This window comes from Homo sapiens, chromosome 10 (assembly GCF_000001405.40).
Source record: "Homo sapiens chromosome 10, GRCh38.p14 Primary Assembly".
NCBI lineage: Eukaryota > Metazoa > Chordata > Mammalia > Primates > Hominidae > Homo > Homo sapiens.
The window spans coordinates 42350841-42369482 of record NC_000010.11 but is presented as its reverse complement, the minus strand read 5'-3'; the positions used below and the strand labels follow the sequence as shown (position 1 = coordinate 42369482).

At 40.7% G+C, this 18642-nt stretch overlaps 1 pseudogene across 1 annotated transcript in view, besides 4 other annotated features; it reads left to right on the top strand.

The window, feature by feature from the left end:
• Positions 1438-18642, top strand: part of LOC441666 (zinc finger protein 91 pseudogene) — a 36180-nt pseudogene continuing 18975 nt past the window's right edge. The window contains exon 1 of the transcript NR_024380.1: positions 1438-1667. The product of NR_024380.1 is annotated as a zinc finger protein 91 pseudogene (transcript). The remainder of the gene's footprint in view (positions 1668-18642) is intronic.
• Positions 1462-1511: an enhancer, noted in NCBI's record as "active region_3279". NCBI's record gives its function as "activates an Ori minimal core promoter by ATAC-STARR-seq in GM12878 lymphoblastoid cells {active_cell/tissue: GM12878}" and the evidence as "EXISTENCE:reporter gene assay evidence [ECO:0000049][PMID:35858748]".
• Positions 1562-1761: an enhancer, noted in NCBI's record as "active region_3278". NCBI's record gives its function as "activates an Ori minimal core promoter by ATAC-STARR-seq in GM12878 lymphoblastoid cells {active_cell/tissue: GM12878}" and the evidence as "EXISTENCE:reporter gene assay evidence [ECO:0000049][PMID:35858748]".
• Positions 1782-1831: an enhancer, noted in NCBI's record as "active region_3277". NCBI's record gives its function as "activates an Ori minimal core promoter by ATAC-STARR-seq in GM12878 lymphoblastoid cells {active_cell/tissue: GM12878}" and the evidence as "EXISTENCE:reporter gene assay evidence [ECO:0000049][PMID:35858748]".
• Positions 1862-1911: an enhancer, noted in NCBI's record as "active region_3276". NCBI's record gives its function as "activates an Ori minimal core promoter by ATAC-STARR-seq in GM12878 lymphoblastoid cells {active_cell/tissue: GM12878}" and the evidence as "EXISTENCE:reporter gene assay evidence [ECO:0000049][PMID:35858748]".

Here is an 18642-nt window from a genome sequence, read left to right as displayed (position 1 = left end):
ATTATGGGGAGGAGAAGCGAGATGCCCCTGTTGACAGTCAGCTTACCCCTGGAAGCAAGCTGCCTACTCAACCAGCAGCTTACCATACATGCCTGATGGAGTTCATCTCAGACCAGAAGAATGGCTCAGTGAGCCAAGCCTAAATGGCTGAGCATGTCAATCATGAGCTACTAAGTTTTTTGTGGTTTTTATGCATCAATAACTAACTAATCCATGCACCCAGTGTAGACAGCCTGGTAGGATTCAAAAACAGATTGATTACTATTACTTGAAAACAGTGAGCATCTCATAGGTATCGATTTTCTTGTCCCTTATTTAAAGTTGGATATCTTGTAAGATAATGTTGAGTAATGCAAAAATGCATGTAGACATGTACACATGTGATTGGTACTTATACTTACACGATCCCCACACTACAGGAGAAAAGAGAAAACCACAGCCTGATTATTAGGGCCATGGCCAAATAGCAAATTACGTTTGCCATTAATTCATTTTCTCCATATCTAAACATTGGAGGTCAAGTCTGTGAGCCAGATCTAAAAACATGGGGTTCCCCTCTCCTGTGGCCCTATCATCCTTTGTTTACTGTCTGATTTCTGGAAAGAAGGCAGGCAGGCAGCAGGTTGGCAGCAATGGTCTACCTGTGAACATTTTATTTTTTCCACCCTCTTCTCCCTGTATGGGCACTGTCTCCTATACCCTTGGATCTGAGGAGAGAAGTTGGTGAGGAGAGGCTGTTTTTTCACCTCTGACAGAAAAGGGATGTTTTACTGGCCCTTCACCCCACTGAAATCAGAGCTGCACTCCTATGTGGCAGCTGCTTGCCATTTGTGGGTACTTAGTGCCTGGAAACTCACTGGTCTAAACTGAGAGTGCTAGAAAGGTAAAATATGGAGTGAGTTTCAAATATTTTGTACCATATATATATATATTCTTCATGCTTATTGATTACATATTAAAATGATAATATTTTGAACATATTGGGTTAAATAAATTGTTACAGTCAGTTTTACCTATTTCTTTCTACTTTTTAAAAATATGGCTACTAGAAAATTTAAAATTCACACATGGCTCACGTTTTACTCCAGAGGAATACCTCCTCCTTGTAATCTCAGGCTGCTTGCTCAAAAGACTAGGGCCAGGAAGATCATGAAATCCAAAATTCTAAAATAATTCTCATTATACTCTTTCCACTTGTGAATAACATAAAACATATTATTTATAAATGGATATGACCTTATACACAAGGTTAAATGCAAATACCCTGTAGGGTAGGCCCTGCTCAGAGCAGGGATAAAGGCCTGCCAGGAAAGGCTGCAGCCTAGGTTGTCACTCCGTCCTCATTGAGTCCAGTGTTTGGTCACATCTTCTGTCACTCACGGACTGGGGACGGGGCCTGAAGCTTTATCCAATAAGGGGCACGGGGCCGAAAACCGGGCAATCAGGCTGCAGCTGGAGAGGACAAGGGCGGCTTCCGGGTGTTGGCGGGGGCATTTGTCTCCTGCCGCAGCTGGGGCTGCAGATCTAGTCTTCAGTTCACAGAGAACTGCCCCCCAACTGCTCCCCCGTACTCTGCTCCTACAGGCCCAGCTGCTGTGGCTGTGCGACCTGCAGGGACTGGCAGACCCGTAGCTAAGACGCCAGGATTTCCTGGAAGCAGAGAAATGGTGAGTGCCGGCTCGACATCCCAAGAGATGGGGGGCAGGCTAGGCTCCGCTGCCGAAGCGGCGGTAGCGTGACTGGGCCTCCCTGCAGTCGTCTTCTAGGTTTGTGGACCCGAGTCCCTCCTGGCCCAGCTCGGCCACAAATGTCGGCTGGACTGGAAGCTGGGACCCCGGGCTCCAGTCCCCTGCCTGTGTGGCGACACCGGCTCCCCAGTCTGGAGCCCTCCCTGTGCCACTCGGCTCCCACAGCCACGCGTCTTCCCCAGCGTGTGCGGGGATGATTGGAGCGTCATCACGGGAGAATCTCGACTCGGTGAGCAGGATTTGTGGATGCAAAGAGGTGTATTTGTGGGGTCCCCGGTCCCTCTTTTCTCCTGTTAAAAATGTAACGGGGAGGGTGGGGGCCGGGCGCGGTAGCTCATGCCTGTAATCCCAGCACTTTGGGAGGCCCAGGCGGGCGGATCTCGAGGTCAGGAGCTCGAGACCATCGTGGCTAACATGGTGAAACCCCGTCTGTACTGAAAATACAAAGAAACAAACAAACAAAAAACGAGCGTGGTGGCGGGCGCCTGCAGCCTCAGCTACTCCGGGTGGGGGGGGTGTGGGCTGAGGCAGGAGAATGGCGTGAACCCGGGAGGCGGAGCTTGCAGTGAGCCTAGATCACGCCACTGCACTCCAGCCTGGAGGACAGAGCGAGACTCCGTCTCACAAAAAAAAAAAAAAAAAAAAAAAAAAAAAAAAAAAAAGTGAGGGGGTCACTGCAAAAATATTTAAAAATTTCGGCAAAGAGCGATTCAAGAATCGTAGAGCACCCAACTATTGTTTTTAGTTGTCCATTGTGAGGGCTTGAAGGAAATGCGGTTTTTTTTTTTTTGGAGACAGAGTCTCGCTCTGTCTCCCAGGCTGGAGTGCAATGGCGCAATCTCGGCTCACTGCAACCTCCGCTTCCCGGGTTCATGTGATTCTCCTGCCTCAGCCTCCCGAGTAGCTGGGATTACAGGCGCCCGCCACCATGCCCGGCTAATTTTTTTGTATTTTTAATGGAGGGTTTCACCAGGTTAGCCAGGCTGGTCTCGAACTCCTGACCTCAGGTGACCCACCCGCCTCGGCCTCCCAAAGTGCTGGGATTGCAGGAGTGAGCCACTGCGCCCGCCCGAAGGAAACGCTTTTACGAGAGGCAGTGAGGAAGCAAATCGAATTCAATAATTGGTTGGATACAGTAATGTAGTCGCCTTATTTGTACGATGCAGGTGGGAAAGTTTTGGTTATGTAATCAGAGGTTTATTGGAGGTTTGTGGTTGCTTAAGCCTGAATTTTGTTTACCGCAAGGCAGAAATTTACTAGAAGTGCCTTTGAGTTAAATTTTTTTAAACTTAGGAACTCAGGGCACCAGAGCCACCTTGGTCTAATTGCCTGCTATCTAATTATCTTCACACTCCACTGGGGACTAGTTTTCCCTTGCATTTTCCAAATATGGCTCAAGCAGGGTCTCAAGTCTACCTCCCCGTCACCGTTCCTCCAGCCTAACCCTCTCTTGTAGTAAAATACTAACTTTCCAGTTCTTTCTGACATTCTCAAATGCTAACTTCCCCTCCATGGTTCACAACATTACCGTTATTTCTACTTTACTGTACATTTCAGACACAGTATTTTAATTAATCATTTTTTCACAAAGCATTGGATAACACTTTTAGAAAGATTTGTTTTCTGTTCGTAACCATTTCACGTGAGAAAAAAGCACAGTTGTCTTCTGATACTTAATTGTAAAAGACCTTTGTGCCTCTTATGTTCTCTACTCATAGGTGGGAATTGAACAATGAGAACACTTGGACACAGGAAGGGGAACATCACACACCCGGGCCTGTCCTGAGTTGGGGGGAGGGGAGAGGAATAGCATTAGGAGATATACCTAATGTAAATGACGAGTTAATGGGTGCAGCACACCAACATGGCACATGTATACATATGTAACAAACCTGCACGTTGTGCACATGTACCCTAGAACTTAAAAGTATACAAAAAAAAATACAAAAAAAACCTTCGTGCCTCCTTTTATCTTCCCTAGGCACAGATATCTTATCAGAATGTCTTTTTTTTTCTTTTGCGACAGAGTCTCACTCTGTCGCCCAGGCTGGAGTGCAGTGGTGTGATCTTGGCCCACTGCATCCTCACCTCCCAGGTTCAAATGATTTTCTTGCCTCAGCCTCCGGAGCAGCTGGGATTACAGGCCTGTGCTACCATGCCCGGCTAATTTTTGTATTTTTAGTAGAGACCAGGTTTCACCATATTGGTCAGGCTGTTCTCGAACTCCTTACCTTAAGTGATCCACCCACCTCAGCCTCCCAAAGTGCTGGGATTATAGGCGTGAGCCACCATGCCTGGCCCAGAATGTCTTTGAGTTGGGGTTGCCTTTGGAATTTTTACAAGGTGATGTGTCCTCAGATATGATCCAGTTTTATCTTGGTCCTGGGTTTCATACTGTCTAGGGATAACCCAAAATACTCACCTTGGCCATGTCTGCTAGAGTGTCCCATGAATATCAGCTTCTGAGTCATTTTCCTTCCAGAAGACAACCTGAGTTAAAGAATGTAGCCTCTCAAGGGAGCAGGTGGATGCCCTGGGTCAGAGAGACATCTCCTGGTGTACCCTTCCTCTAAAAAGCTAACCCCTTGAGACATTAAGTTTGCCTTCATCCAACCCAGCTTCCATTTCTTGGAGACATATTGCTGGTCAGCTAATCAGATGCTGGTACTGAGGTTAAAAGAGAGAAATAATTTTTGCCCTTGATTCTTTCAGATTTGTGAAGGAAAGAAAATAGTCCAAAAAACAAAAACTACCCAACCCAGTGAGATGGTGCAAGAACCTGCAAAGTAAAATGCACTTGAGGCCCTCACTGGGGCATAGCATAGTTTCTCCTGGAGCATGGTCATTGAGCACTTAAGCGATCAGGATGAGGGTGGGAGGATCTCTCATTTGTTGGATGGCCTGACTTGACACATGAATCAAACACATCTGTATTCCAATGAGCATTTGAATTTCTAGGTTTTTCACCTCGAAGATATTTGTTCACTTATTAGTTTTTTAACTGTAAATTACATTTTATCAGTAGAGCTTGAAAGGTTAAGAAAATATACAAAGGACATGAAAAAGGTAGGTTTCAGGAAAAAATTAAATATTTAGTCATACATTCCATTTGTTAAAAATTCTTATTTGCCTTTTTGTTCCCCAGAGTGAGTGTAGAAAGGTTGTCAAGTGTTTTTTTTTTTTAAGAGAGGGAAGATTCAAACAAAATCCCAGGGCTTAGCTTTGGGAGTGCTACTGGGAAAAAGAATAGGAAAAAATGTTTATTCCATTATGGCTATAGATAATGAATATATTTCTACAAGAAAATATGATAGATCAGTTGGTGAAATGTGTAGATTCATCAAAACAGTTCCGATTTTTGTAGGGTGAATTGTGACAGTGGCTATCTCTGCTCTATATCCTGTTATCTTGATTTTTGAGTATAAATGCTAAATTTTATGAGATGGGACTTGCCACCTCCTAGCAGTGTTCCCAAGTGACTAATTGTTTACTAAATGATTTGTTATAAAATAATTTAATGACATGTTTATTGTCTGAAAGGGATAGTTTTGCTTTTTTTGTTAAGTCATGGAATGTAAGTAAGCACTTTAAAATTTTCTTCTTTTTTTTTTTTTTCTTTTTTTTTTGAGATGGAGTCTCGCTCTGTCTTCCAGGCTGGAGTGCAGTGGCATGATCTAGGCTCACTGCAAACTCCGCCTCCTGGGCTCAAGCAATTCTCCTGCCTCAGCCTCCTGAGTAGCTGGGATTACAGGTGTGCACCACCATGTCTGGTTAATTTTTGTATTTTTATTAGAGACGGGGTTTCACCATGTTGGTCAGGCTGGTCTGGAACTCCTGACCTCGTGATCCACCCGCCTTGGCCACCCAAAGTGCTGGGATTACAGGCATGAGCCACCATGCCCGGCCTAAAATTTTCTTCCCTTATATAAACTCTGTGTTTGAGCAATTTTGCTGAATTTTTCAAACACTTAGTATTAAAAAGCCAAGTGAATAACTCTGACTGGGAATTGAAGCCTGAGCCCAGTGACTCCAAGCTAAGGCCAATATTGAGACTGCAAAAAAAGGTTATTGAAGGTCCAGTTATTTCTTCCTGAGGAGCCTTTCCTGCAGGTGTCCCAGCCCGCTCACCCCAGCCATGGAAGAATCCTTTCTACTGAGAGAAGCTACAGAGCCCAGGCGAGCTGGGGATCCATAGGCAGATGCAGCTGGGGTTGGGATGGAAGGGCATTGGGAGGGTCTTTCTGAGGATGAAATTTTTATTGACCTGGGGTTGTTTCTAGACTCTGTCAAATAAAAAAAGTCAGATTTAAGTAAAAAGTTTTGAATTTCCAAAGGAGTATTACAAGAGGGGGTAGTACAGACTATAAGATCTTTGAGGACCTCAAAGGTTAGGCATACAAGGGCTGTCTTTCCTAGGGAGAAGCAAACAAGATTAGAAAGGAGATGGGAGGGGAGGGCAGGATGAAGGGTGGCAAAATCAGACTCTAGATCAGAGAATATTTTACCCTGAAGTCAGTATCTTTTTAGCAGGGACATAACATGAGGTTGTATGTTTGCTCAGACTGAGATTGGGTCAAAGTTCAGGAGTCTGGGGAAGGAGAGAAACTTAAGCAAAGTTGGATTAAAAAGTATGTTGTTATGATCACTAAAGACAATTGTTCAGCTGATTCTTTATGGGAAAATGATGAAAATTTGTAGAGTCTGTGTCTGGCTATGTGATAGGTGAAAAAAGCAAGCATCATCTAAGTCACAATGGGAAAGTTGTTTATTTTCATTAAGCTGCTCCTGGAGAACACAATAGATGAGAAATTTTTATTAATCACAGTTATTTACCAAAATTTTCTGTGTGCCCCCATCTTTTCACACCACTTTCCTTTTTTCTATACACCTCTTCCATTTGACTGTTCCTGCATTGTATCTTATAGAACAAACTGGTAAACACAAGTATAGTGTTTTGCCGAGTTCTGTGAGTAGTTTAATCACATTATTCAATTCCAGGAGGGGTTCAATAATTTGAACCATTTAAAGTAGCTGCTCTAGACAGTCACTCAGAAGTACAGATGAGCACCTGGGACTTGTGACGGGCATCTGCAGTAAGGACAGTATTGTGGGACTAAACTCTGGACTTGTGGGATCTGCACTGATTTTGAGTAGTGTGAGATAAAATGTTAAACAACTGGTTGATGTTGGAGAATTGCTGGATATTCAGGAAATTCTACAAATTAGGTGTCAGAAGAAAGACGTCACCGGGCCTGAGCCATGTGATGTCAGAAGAAAGACATCACAGGGGCTAGGGATCAGACCCTGTGTGTTCTCCTGCACATGAGCAGTCACACTGCACATTCTCCTGTGATTCCAGTTCTCCCAGGGTGAGAGGGGAATGGAAACTTAGAGAAAAGGAGTTCTCAGAACAAACCTTCTTCCCCTACAGCTGCCATCACTTGGTTTTTACCTACTCATGAACATACCCACTAGGAGGTATTAATGTGGCCATGCGCCTCCCAGGACTAGGCACCAACCTCAGGAATTCCATCACAGTGCCTTTGCTGCTAGAGTTTCTTGCCAGAAACCTACACAAGTACCTATAGGACTCCTAGCTTATTTCTGCCCTCAGACACTGAATCTGCAGCAGCAACCCATTCTCTCCATCAACCTAGGATTCTGGACTACCTGTTCATAATCTCACCTGCCTGCATGAACACAAAAAATTCATAGTACAGTCCCTCCTGGGCCACATCTTTAATTCAAACCAGTCCTTCCAGCTATCTTTTATTCTTCCCCGACTCATAAATTTTTGGAAGCTCCTTTCTCTCGTCTACTTTTTTTTTTCTAGACGGAATTTCACTCTTGTTGCTCAGGCTGGAGTGCAATGGTGCAATCTCAGCTCACCGCAACCTCCGCCTCCCAGGTTCAAGTGATTCTCCTGCCTCAGTAATGTGTAATGAGGCTAATTTTGTATTTTTAGTAGAGACGGGGTTTCTCCATATTGTTCAGGCTGGTCTCCAACTCCCCATGTCAGGCGATGCACCCGACTCAGCCTCCCAAAGTGCTGGGATTACAGGTGTGAGCCGCTACTCCCGGCCTCTCTCTTCTACTTTTTGCCCCACAGTCTTTCTTTCATGTGCACACGGTGTGTTCAGAACCACCCCTTAGGTGCCTAAATCCAGTGCATACTAAAATTCAGATGTCCAAAAGTTCAAAACCATGCCTATAGTTCTGGCTGTTGTACAAGAAAATACAATTTAGGAATAAGAGGCTTAATTATTTTACATAGAAATAAATGCTTTTTCTGTCTCATTCCCTACCAGATTGTCTTTGTCTAGGACCTGAGAACCATTATTTTGCTTTTGCTTTTGATTTGGCAAAGGTTTTCTTTTTCTTTTTTATTCTTTCTTTTTATTTTCTGTCTTTTCCTTTTAATTATATTTGTCAAACACTGTCCACAATTACCAGACATTGTATATACGTATAAGGTGCCCACCAATCTTCACTTTGGAGAAGGCTTTCCCTCTCAGGCTTCCAGTCAACCCAGTCAGTTTTGCTTCAAAGTGCACACTGCCCCCAGAGTATGCAAGCAGAATTGTGTCTCTGCCTATTTCACATCTATAGTCCTCTACAACCACTTGTAGAGAGGTCAAGCCTTTCTACAAGTGGTTGACAAAATTCACAGGACAGTAATCAGCCATTTCACCTCTTTCAGTGACCATAGTGTCTTCAGACCTGAAACTGAATTGGAGACTGTTAGGCCCAGAAGAACAATTAGGGTGACGTGTGCATTGAGTAAACGTGAGTATCTCAGCGTTCCTCTTTCTCCTCCTCCCAAAATTCCCATAAATGTGCAGTTAACACCTGCCATTTCTCCACCCATCCAGGACCTAAATCTACAGTACCAAATTCTGAATCTCGGTCTTGAGATTAGAGGAAAAAGAATAACTTTGATCTGAGGAGTGCAAGTCCTTTTAGTTTTATCAGGCCCGGAGAGACATAAAAATGAGAACATAATTATGTTCTTCTGCCTCCTTTGAGCTACGTTTTTACCTCTTGAAACTGTTTGCTATTGCTACAAGTAGATATAAATTAACCTAATAATGCCACACTAGATGTTATAAGCAATACCTTATAGCTTAAATTATATAGCCAATTAGTCATCAATGTTATTTCTGTAGAACAAGAAGAATTTCTGACAAATAACTTTGTTTCAGTCCACTCCCCGTCCCTCTCTTTTGCCTTTGTAAATGCACTTGTAACTGCTGCTAATTAAAGTGTACATTCAAGGCAACTTGAATCTATGCTCCCAGGTTTCAATCCTCAGGCTTGGCCCAAATAAACTCTCTACTTAAATGAGTGTTGCCTTAGCCTTTTCTTTTTAGGCTGACATATCATGTGCTAGAGCAGACTTTATGATGGAAACTTTTTTTTTTTTTTTTAACTCTCCTTGCTGTAACACCAAAGAATGAAGAGTCAGGTTGATCTTACCTGTAATCTGCACGTAAGAGCTGAGCTCTGCCTGGGATTCACAGGAGAGAGCCAGATTTTGGTTTGAGAATGTACAGAAAACCCATAGGAGACATTTTCTGATCTGTGAGATGTCAGCATAGAAATCTTAAAGCCCTTCTTTCAGAGTGTATCCCTTTGAGCTTTCCAGATCTTTTCCAGTGACCTGCTATGGTTAAGTGAGAGGCTGCTGGTGTAAATAGAATCTGGTTGCACAATCTGTAAGTGTAAACATGCATGTCAGCAAGGAGAGATCAAAGCCACAAAATACCCAGAGCAATGACATAAGTTTACCTATTTGTAAAATGTGACACTGGAATAGAGTATTCTTGAGTATTACCTAAGAGCTAGCTAATCAGAACAGGTGATATCACACGTAGATCCAGGTTCTGGAGCTCTACCAGGGCAGTTCCATTTTCTATTTAGAATCAGCTTGAGTCTTTCCTGCCTGGATCAACATAGGGTCATCAGTCCATGGTCACTAGGAATCCTCTCACAGTCACCCGGGAATCTTTAAGACATTTCAGGATGTCCTGTGCAGACTTGGGTCAGGCTGGCAGGAGTGTCTAATTCTGCTTCCATGTTAGAGGAAGGGAAATGAGTCATTCAGTGTCTGTTCCTTCTTTTGTAGAAAGATTCTCCGTGGTTGGTACCCAGATGAGAGTTTCTCCAGTTTCCTTGGCAAAAAATTCAGGAGTTCTGGAGACTCAGACTGATAAACAAATTGCCTCCATTTCATATGGTCTTTAGAAAAATAGATGAAGCAGTCATGGTCCCTGTCATTCAAAAACTTTCAGTGTAGAGCAACTGGATAAATGGTTTAATTAAGCATCATATAGTCAGTACAATAAAGTGGGGTGTTAAGGGGACTTTGGCGATGGCTCTTATGTTGTTGTGACTTCTGATGTCACCACCTGAAGATCTCAAACAGGAGAGCTATTTGTATTTTTATTGCTTTTACCTTGCTAAGAATACGTATTTTCTAATAAAATTATCTTAGAAAGCCCTAAAAATTTTGGTTAAATTGTTATTATATGTTATAAAATAGAGTAGTGGCTAAATGGATTAAAATTATACAAACTCTTAAGTTTCTCTTGGACAGGCTTAGGAAAGACAGAACAAGAAGTACTCCAGCAGCATAGAGATCATAATTCAACATAGGACCGTTTCTCCACCCCAGCTCTGTCCAGATTCACCCTTTTCTGAGCCTCCTTCAGGTCTGGTCCCACCCTGGAGTCTGTCCTCACAGAACTCATTAGAGGAGACCAGAGATTTGGGAGTTGGCTCCTGCTGCCTTTCCAGAACTTACGCTCACAGTATTCAACCCAAAAGCAGATAAATTAGAGCAATAAACTATATATTTTGAGGTCTTAACTTCTTTCTTTTTAATTAAAACCAGTGCTTGTAGAGACATTCCATTCCAGTAGTTACTCCACTAGTCACAAGAAAGTAAATAGAAACACAATAAAAAATCCCTCTGAACTACACTTAACCCTTTCCTTTCTGTATCCCTCCCATCTGTCTATATTTATCTCTTATGCTATACATTTTTAAAAAAATCAGTGAGAGGCCGGGCTCTGTGGCTCATGCCTGTAATCCTAGTACTTTGGGAGGCCGAGGTGGGCAGATCACTTGAGGTCGGGAGTTCGAGACCAGCCTGACCAACATGGAGAAACCCCGTCTCTACTAAAAATACAAACTTAGCTCAGTGTCATGGTGCATGCCTGTAATCCCAACTACTCGGGAGGCTGAGGCAGGAGAATCGCTTGAACCCGGGAGGTGGAGGTTGTGGTGAGCTGAGATCGTGCCATTGCACTTCCAGCCTGGGCAACAAGAGCGAAACTCCATTTCAAAAAAGATAAACAGGAGAAGAAAACAATGCTGGCCCCTTCATCTAAATTCTGAGAATTATTGAACACTTAGTACCCAACTCTCAAGTTGTTACGAAGATTAAATCACATAATGTGATGTTCCCAGCAGAGTGCTCTGTAACAGACTCCTGAGCACATAGTACCTGTTTAATAAGCATTGCATAAGTATATGTGTGCATGTTGTTTTTCAATGCAGACACGCAGACATTGCTGCCTTCTCCTGTCTCTGTAAACTTTAAAGAGCTAGCAAAGAATGTGGTCTTTCAGGATAGAGATTGATTGTTTATTTGATGAGAAGTATTTGTGTTGTGATAAGTGATGAGTGTAAGAGTCTGTTCCATGCCTGCTTTTTCTAGCTAAATGCTACTAATGATGGGTCTGGGGAAGCTACATCGGCATTGACAGGAGATGTGTTTAAAATGCACTTTCATGGACCCTCTTAAAACCTGCAGAATCACATTACATAGTGTGGGGCCAGGGTTACCAAATGATTTATATGCACATTGAAGCTTGAGAGGCAATACTTAGCTAAGTGGTTCTTGGCCCAGGCTTCTAATTAAGATTCCATGGCCAGGTTGCAGAAATATTTTCACTTGTGCCCTTACCGCAGGCTCTGTATATTGTTCTGGGTGGAAGCATCCTTGTTGATATAATTAAGTGCCTCACGTGACTCCAGGTTGAGGCCAGGGCCAAATATGAGGAATTCAAAATACATTCATGAGAGTTGAGTTCAAACTTTATTCCAAAGGGAGGTCACAGGGCCTGCTATGGTTGGATTTGGTAGGGACAAGTTAGTGTGGCCCATATTCCCATTGCTGTAGCAGAAATTGCAGTGTCTGTGGCAGGGGAGGGCACCTGAGGGCAGGAAAAGAGAAAGATAAATTTTGATCTTCGTGGAGGAGTTCACTGTCCTTGAATCTCACCTGTTATAAACAACATAAATGGGTGGACATTTTCTGCATGCCTGGATCTTTCTGCCTGTGTTTGTGGTGGTAGCAGGTGAAGGGATTGTGCTGATTCCTTTAAAGGCATATTCCCAAGATGCAGGTGTGACTTGTCCAGAGAATATCACCTGAGAAGAAATCCTAGAGGAGGATGATGAAGAGAAAAATGGCTCTTTCTCAGGTGACTGTGTCTCAGATCAGGCGCTGTGTTCACTTTGCCTCCTGGAATGCCGTATGTTTAGAACTTACAAACCTGTACTTCTTGACTTTATGCTGTTTCTCCCTATATGTTTATTTAAACATTTTTTCTTCTCATGATAGTCAAGGAACTCTGAAAAAATATTTTTTTTCTATATACTAGAGCCTTCTCGACATTCTCTTCATCTTGGCTTCTTCTCCGCCATGAAGAATTCTCATCATTAATTTACGACTCGTAATATTAAAAATATTCCCTTTTGCTGGGCACGGTGGTTCATGCCTATTATCCCAGCACTTTGGGAGACCGATGTGGGTGGATGACCTGAGGTCAGGAGTTCGAGACCAGCCTGGCCAACATGGTGAAACCCTGTCACTACTAAAAATACAAAAAACAGCTGGGTGTAGTGGCAGGTGCCTGTAATCCCAGCTACTCGGGAGGCTGGGGCAAGAGAATCACTTGAACCCAGGAGGTGGAGGTTGCAGAGGTTGCAGTGAGCCGACATCGTGCCACTGCACTCCAGCCTGGGCAACAGAGAGAGACTCCATCTCCAAAGGAAAAAAAAAAAAAAAGAAAAATACCCTTTGTTGCTGGTGCTGGTGCACATGGAAAGGTATGGATACCCAAGATTCCTACTGGGGAAGAGGTGGGGTTCTTAGATATTCATGAAAAAGGGGAATATGTAATGTTGAAGTTCTGTCTGTGTGCTCCATCAACTCCATGCGGAACAGGATTAAAATATGCACATTTGAACAGGATGGCATTTATTACCCAGAATAATTCAGAAAGTTTTGAAAAAAATAATGAGGAGATACTCGCTTTCTAGAATGCTAAGGAAAGTCTGCCTAAATACTCTATTAGAGATTACACAACATGAGCGATTACTGTAGCTTGCATTTTGCATAAAACTTGTTTCTTTATGATTAAATTTGAATTATAATTTGCTTCTTTGGCGGGGGCCAGTATCACAGCAGTGATATTGTGTCCTTCTGTGAGCATCAGCGCATGATGAAAATTTGTTCTGTTACAATGGTGTTAATTTGATTCGCTTAGTTAAATAGTTCTCTGAGAATTTTTTTCCACTGTAGAGATATTTTTCTCTTTATTATTGAGTACCTTGGGGACATTTACCAGCTGATGTGCATAAAGCATCACATGTAATCTGGAAACTCTCTTTTCTTCTTAGATTCTCTTTGCATATATCTTTCTTTAAAAAGTGAAGTCTCTCATCTTTGTTTACTGGTCATAAAAACCCAGGCTCTGCCACTTAATGAATGTTTGACAAAAGATTTATCTTGGGCCAGAAAGATTGGTGTTACTTGTGAGCTTGTTAGAAATTCAGAAACTCAAGTTTTACCTCAGGTTTCTTGAAACAAAATCTGCATAAAAAGATCTCCAGTTTATTGTTGTACACATTAAAATTTGAGAGGTACTTTATAACTAAGCCTGACTTTTTAATCTGAGAAATATACAACTTATACTGTATGATTAAATTGAGCACTCAAAAATGTACATGTCTATGTTCCTGTTGTTAATTTTGTACTTTTATCATTCAAAAAATATCATCAATACACTACACTGGTGTTGTGAATCTTATGCTCTCTTTTCTCAGAGATAGAGAATACAACACAGAATATTTCTTCGTTGGGAATTATTTTATAGGACAATTTCAGTAGTATAAGTCAGAATCAGTTCTCTTCACTCATTTAATCTTGAGACAATTTAAGAATTCTGCCCATGGCCACTTGAAGTGTGTGTGTGTGTTTTCAGGGACTGCTGATATTCAGGGATGTAGCCACATAGAATTCTGTCCGGAGGAGTATCAATACCTGGATGCTGCTCAGCAGAATTTGTATAACGATGTGATGTTAGAGAACCACAGAAACCCGGTCTTCTTGGTTGAGGATAACTTCAATATAGAATTCCTAATTTACCCTAAATGTTTCATTTTCTTCCTTTGTAGGATGTGTTTTGGTAATTTCTGCTTTGCATGAGTGAATTTCAGATCCCTGTTTTCAAGACAATCTTATTTTATTTTATTATTATTATACTTTAAGTTTTAGGGTACATGTGCACAATGTGCAGGTTAGTTACATATGTATACATGTGCCATGCTGGTGTGCTGCACCCATTAACTCGTCATTTAGCATTAGGTATATCTCCTAATGCTATCCCTCCCCCCTCCCCCTACCCCGCAACAGTCCCCAGAGTGTGATGTTCCCCTTCTTGTGTCCATGTGTTCTCATTGTTCAATTCCCACCTATGAGTGAGAACATATGGTGTTTGGTTTTTTGTCCTTGTGATAGTTTACTGAGAATGATGATTTCCAATTTCATCCATGTCCCTACAAAGGACATGAACTCATCCTTTTTTATGGCTGCATAGTATTCCATGGTGTATATGTGCCACATTTTCTTAATCCAGTCTATCATTGTTGGACATTTGGGTTGGTTCCAAGTGTTTGCTATTGTGAATAGTGCCACAATAAACATACGTGTGCATGTGTCTTTATAGCAGCATGATTTATAATCCTTTGGGTATATACCCAGTAATGGGATGGCTGGGTCAAATGGTATTTCTAGTTCTAGATCCCTGAGGAATCGCCACACTGACTTCCACAATGGTTGAACTAGTTTACAGTTCCACCAACAGTGTAAAAGTGTTCCTATTTCTCCACATCCTCTCCAGCACCTGTTGTTTCCTGACTTTTTAATGATTGCCATTCTAACTGGTGTGAGATGGTATCTCATTGTGGTTTTGATTTGCATTTCTCTGATGGCCAGTGATGGTGAGCATTTTTTCATGTGTTTTTTGGCTGCATAAATGTCTTCTTTTGAGAAGTGTCTGTTTATGTCCTTCGCCCACTTTTTGATGGTGTTGTTTGTTTTTTTCTTGTAAATTTGTTTGAGTTCATTGTAAATTCTGGATATTAGCCCTTTGTCAGATGAGTAGGTTGCGAAAATTTTCTCCCATTTTGTAGGTTGCCTGTTCACTCTGATGGTATTTTCTTTTGATGTGCAGAAGCTCTTGAGTTTAATTAGATCCCATTTGTCAATTTTGGCTTTTGTTGCCATTGCTTTTGGTGTTTTAGACAGGAAGTCCTTGCCCATGCCTATGTCCTGAATGATAATGCCTAGGTTTTCTTCTAGGGTTTTTATGGTTTTATGTCTAACATTTAAGTCTTTAATCCATCTTGAATTAATTTTTGTAGAAGATGTAAGGGAGGGATCCAGTTTCAGCTTTCTACATATGGCTAGCCAGTTTTCCCAGCACCATTTATTAAATAGGGAATCCTTTCCCCATTGCTTGTTTTTCTCAGGTTTGTCAAAGATCAGATAGTTGTAGATATGCGGTGTTATTTCTGAGGGCTCTGTTCCGTTCCATTGATCTATATCTCTGTTTTGGTACCAATACCATGCTGTTTTGGTTACTGTAGCCTTGTAGTGTAATTTGAAGTCAGGTAGCGTGATGCCTCCAGCTTTGTTCTTTTGGCTTATGATTGACTTGGTGATGCAGGCTGTTTTTTGGTTCCATATGAACTTTAAAGTAGTTTTTTTCCAATTCTGTGAAGAAAGTCTTTGGTAGCTTGATGGAGATGGCATTGAATCTATAAATTACCTTGGGCAGTATGACCATTTTCACGATACTGATTCTTCCTACCCATGAGCATGGAATGTTCTTCCATTTGTTTGTATCCTCTTTTATTTCATTGAGCAGTGGTTTGTAGTTCTCCTTGAAGAGGTCCTTCACATCCCTTGTAAGTTGGATTCCTAGGTATTTTATTCTCTTTGAAGCAATTGTGAATGGGAGTTCACTTTCAAGACAATCTTGAGGATTTTTTGGTGTGGAAAATAAATTCTTCAAGATGTTTCATTTTGACCTGAATTTTCCCCTTTCCTGAGCTTATCTATATTATTCACTCTAGATAAGTGGTAATTTCAGAAATTTAGTGGCATAAAATAATGTTGTCCAGACCTTAAAATTCAATTGCCACCACCAATTTTTGATTCAGTAATACTGGGGAGTGAAACTGAGGACCCACATATTTAATGTACTTTCTGAATATGCTAAAGGTTCTGTCAGTAAAAATTATTTTGGAATTAATTTTCTAGAATCTTCTATTATGTCCTCTTTTCTCTACTTAGCACAGTATTAGGTTGGTAAATGGCGAATCCCAGGAAAAGTCATGCTCTTGCTGCTTTTTAAAATAAAACACGTATTGTCTTCTCTAAGCCAGACCTGGTCACCTGTCTGGAGCAAAGGAAAAAGCCATGGAGTATGAAGCATCCAGGTAGGTGAAAGCGAATGAAGAAGAGGATGACATAGATGAGAGATCCAAAGGCCAAGGAGGAACCCAGACTTTTACATGTGATTTGGGAAGCTGTGCTTCAGTGGAAATCGTTTCTGAGAAGCCTGGGTTTTTTCACTTGTTCTCACATAGGGGCATCTTCTGTCCCATGCTCTCTAACGACTCTACTTTTTCTTCAATAATTTTTCTTCAGATTTGCAGTGAGAGCCAAAGTTCTCTTTATGGCTTATAAAGGAGTGCACAATCTGACTACTTTTATTGCTTTTGGGGATATACATATAGCTGCATATTTTTTAGAAACTCTGTGTTTAACCATTTTTAAGTTCTCTTTCTGCATTGTGTCTGAAATATGTAAAAGTAGTGATATTGAGATTTGGTTCAGAAATCCCAGAAATACAACAAACATATGTTGTATGTTTTCTGCTTTATAGTTTCTTATTTTATGGAGGTTTCAAATGTGTTTCTACAGAAATTCATACTCGGTAATTTAATCAGAATATTAAGTATCTTTAAGAATATCTAATGTTATTTGAATTGAAATTTTTATTGTTTTAGTACTAACTGAGGTTGGTAATTTCAACTCTGTCTTAATTTCTCAACTGTAATATAATGTATATATTTCCTACATTTCTTCAATTCACTATGTCAGGGAACTTAGAACATTACTGAGCATATGTTAAGCTCCCACTTCTTTCCTTGTTTTTTTAATTACTATTTTGTAATTTTATCTTGTTTAGGATAAAGTTTACCAGAACTGTAATTTATATGTGTGTATATATATGTAGGTGTGTATTGTGGATTTTTTTACAAGTAAAAATTGTATAATTATATATTTATTGTGTACAATGTAGTGACTTACTGCATGTGTAGATTGTAAAATGATTAGCACAATTATGTTTATGACCATTTCTATCACCTGTCCTCACATAGGTACCTTTTTTGTAATGAAAACATCTAAAATCTGCTGACACCAAATTTTAAGCTTACAAAAAATTAGTGTTAACTGTATCATGAAGCTATACATTACATTCGAAAAACTTACTCATAACAGAAAATTTGTGTCTTTTCAACATCTTTTCATTTTCTCCCATATCTAGTCCCTGACAACTACCATTGTAGTCTCTGCTTCTGTGAGTTCAGCTTTCTTAGATTCCCCATATAAGTGAGAATGAGCAGTATTTCTCTTTCTGTGTCTGGCTTATTTCCCTTGGCATAATGTCTTCCAGTTCTACCCATGTTGTTGCAATGGCAAGATTTTGTTATTTTTCAGGCTAAATAATATTCTATTGTTTATTTATACCAGCTTTTCTTTATTCAGCATCCACAAACATTTAGGTTTTTTACATCTTGGCAAATGTGAATAATGCTGCAACAAATATGGTGGTACAGATATGTCTTCAAGTTACTTATTTCATTTCCTTTTGTTATATACACAGAAGTGGGATTGCTAGATTGTGTAGTAGTTCTGTATTTCAAATAACCTCTTGGTTTTTGTAATGACTCCATCAATTTTTAACTCTCCAAGAATGTACAGAATTTTTTTTCTTCAAAGTGTTGTCAACACTTGTTATGTTTCTTCTTTTTACATTATCCATTCTGACATGTTTGAAATGATACTCATCATGGTTTTGATTTGCAATTGCCTGATATTTGGTGATATTGAGTACTTTATGGTTTATCTGTTGGCCATTTGTATGTCTTCATTGGACAAATATCAGTTTAGTTTTGTGCCTATTTTGAACTGGGTTACTGTTGTTTTTGCTTTTAATCTGCTTGTATTTCTTATATATTTTGTATATCAATCTTTCATCAGATGTATGGTTTGCAAATATTTTTTCCCATTCTACAAATTTTTTAATTTTATTGTTCCCTTTTCTGTGCAGAAGGTTTTTAGTTTGATGCAGTCCAGCTTGTTTATGTTTGCTTTTGTTGCTGTACTTTTGGTATTATGTCTAATAAATTATTGTTAAGACCATATCATGTGGGTTTTCCATGTATTTGTTTTTCAGGTTTTTTAAGGATTCATATTTAACTCTGTAATTTAACTTTTAGCATGGTGTAAGAAAAATAAGCTAATTTT